This window comes from Homo sapiens, chromosome 13 (genome assembly GCF_000001405.40).
Source record: "Homo sapiens chromosome 13, GRCh38.p14 Primary Assembly".
NCBI lineage: Eukaryota > Metazoa > Chordata > Mammalia > Primates > Hominidae > Homo > Homo sapiens.
The window spans coordinates 60,821,026-60,822,493 of NC_000013.11; positions in this window are offsets into that span (position 1 = coordinate 60,821,026).

The following is a 1,468-nucleotide window of genomic DNA, read 5'->3' on the forward strand; positions in this document are numbered from 1 at the left end:
CCTGTAACATTTTGTCTAATAATTTTATACCAGTGGAAGTGAAGTAATTCAGATTTGTTAATGTTCATTACCTTTCATTGAGGAATTTCTTGTTTAGAAGCAATTTAAGCCACTTTTTCTTTTTTCAGCTCCTTCTCTGAATTAACAGCTTTCCTTTTACTTATGTATTTCTGGGATCAAATTGACAAATCCCTTTCAAGTGCTCATTTTGCCTTAGCATTCAATTTACCTCTGGCCCCTTAAACATTTGCTGGTTATCCACTTGGCAAATCATTCAGCAATTTCCCCATGTAACTGTTCTGGCAACGGTAGAGTTCAAAGGCATAACTAACTACAAATGAGAATCTAACTACACCAGAGACTGCATGTCTGTTTCACTCACTTGCTTTAAAAAAGACAGGAGTTGAACTTTGCTTTGAAATAAAATGATTATATTATATATTGAGCTATTTTTTCCTCCTTTTGGTGAGGATTTCAGGACAGTATTGCTTAATTAGAAATGCATGTTAACGTATTCTGTTGCCATCATTATAGTTTTAAAATAAAAGTAATGAAAAGTCAAGCTATTTACTTTTACATATAGGAATATCTTTATGTGGGATGAATTAGTTTTTAGTAATTAGTGTTTAAAAGCTAGAAATTAACACAATAAATATTTTTCCTTTTACAGCATCAAGATGGCTAAATATTTCTTATGAAGGTTCAATTACAGATTAATATTTATTTTGGTTATTTCATGATCATTTTCCATTGTGTCTGGAGAATTTATGCCAAAGAGTTAGAATTTACCTGAAATTGATTGGAATCTTTAATTTTTCCTTCAATGAAATATGAGAATTATAAATTATAAGGTAGTAAAATTAAAGAGCACAGTTAGTAGTTTGGAATTTTTATATTTTGGGAGATAACTGCTTATATAAAAAGACATTTCAGAGCTTTTATAGTGATTACAGATAATATTTTTATTTATTAATATCCTTTTCATTACATACTCGCAAGTTTATATTTAGTCATTTGTTGATTGGGAAAGTAATTTAATTTTCCTATGCATGTAACATCCCTATAAATTGAATAGCTTACCTTTATGACTATTTGTATTCGAATACTAGTTTCTAGTAACTATTAAGTAACTTGCGTTTCTTTATTATTTTTATCCACGAAAAGAAGTAACCTCTTAGCTTCAGTTTTATGTTTTTCTTTAATTTAAAATTGATTGGAAAATCAAATTCTCTTTTGCTTTCCTTGTCATGACCCAATATAATTTCACTAATCTATGAAGACTAGGAGGAACATGAGGACAATCCTGGCACTCATTTTATTTAATGTTCATGGGAGTGGCTAGCAAAGTTGCAGGTGGAGGAGGGAGAGGATGAGGGCAGACTCTCAAATGTGTGTGTGTGTGTGTGTGTGTGTGTGTGTGTGTGTGTTTCTATATAGGAAGAATAACTTCTGGGTAATCTAGAAGATG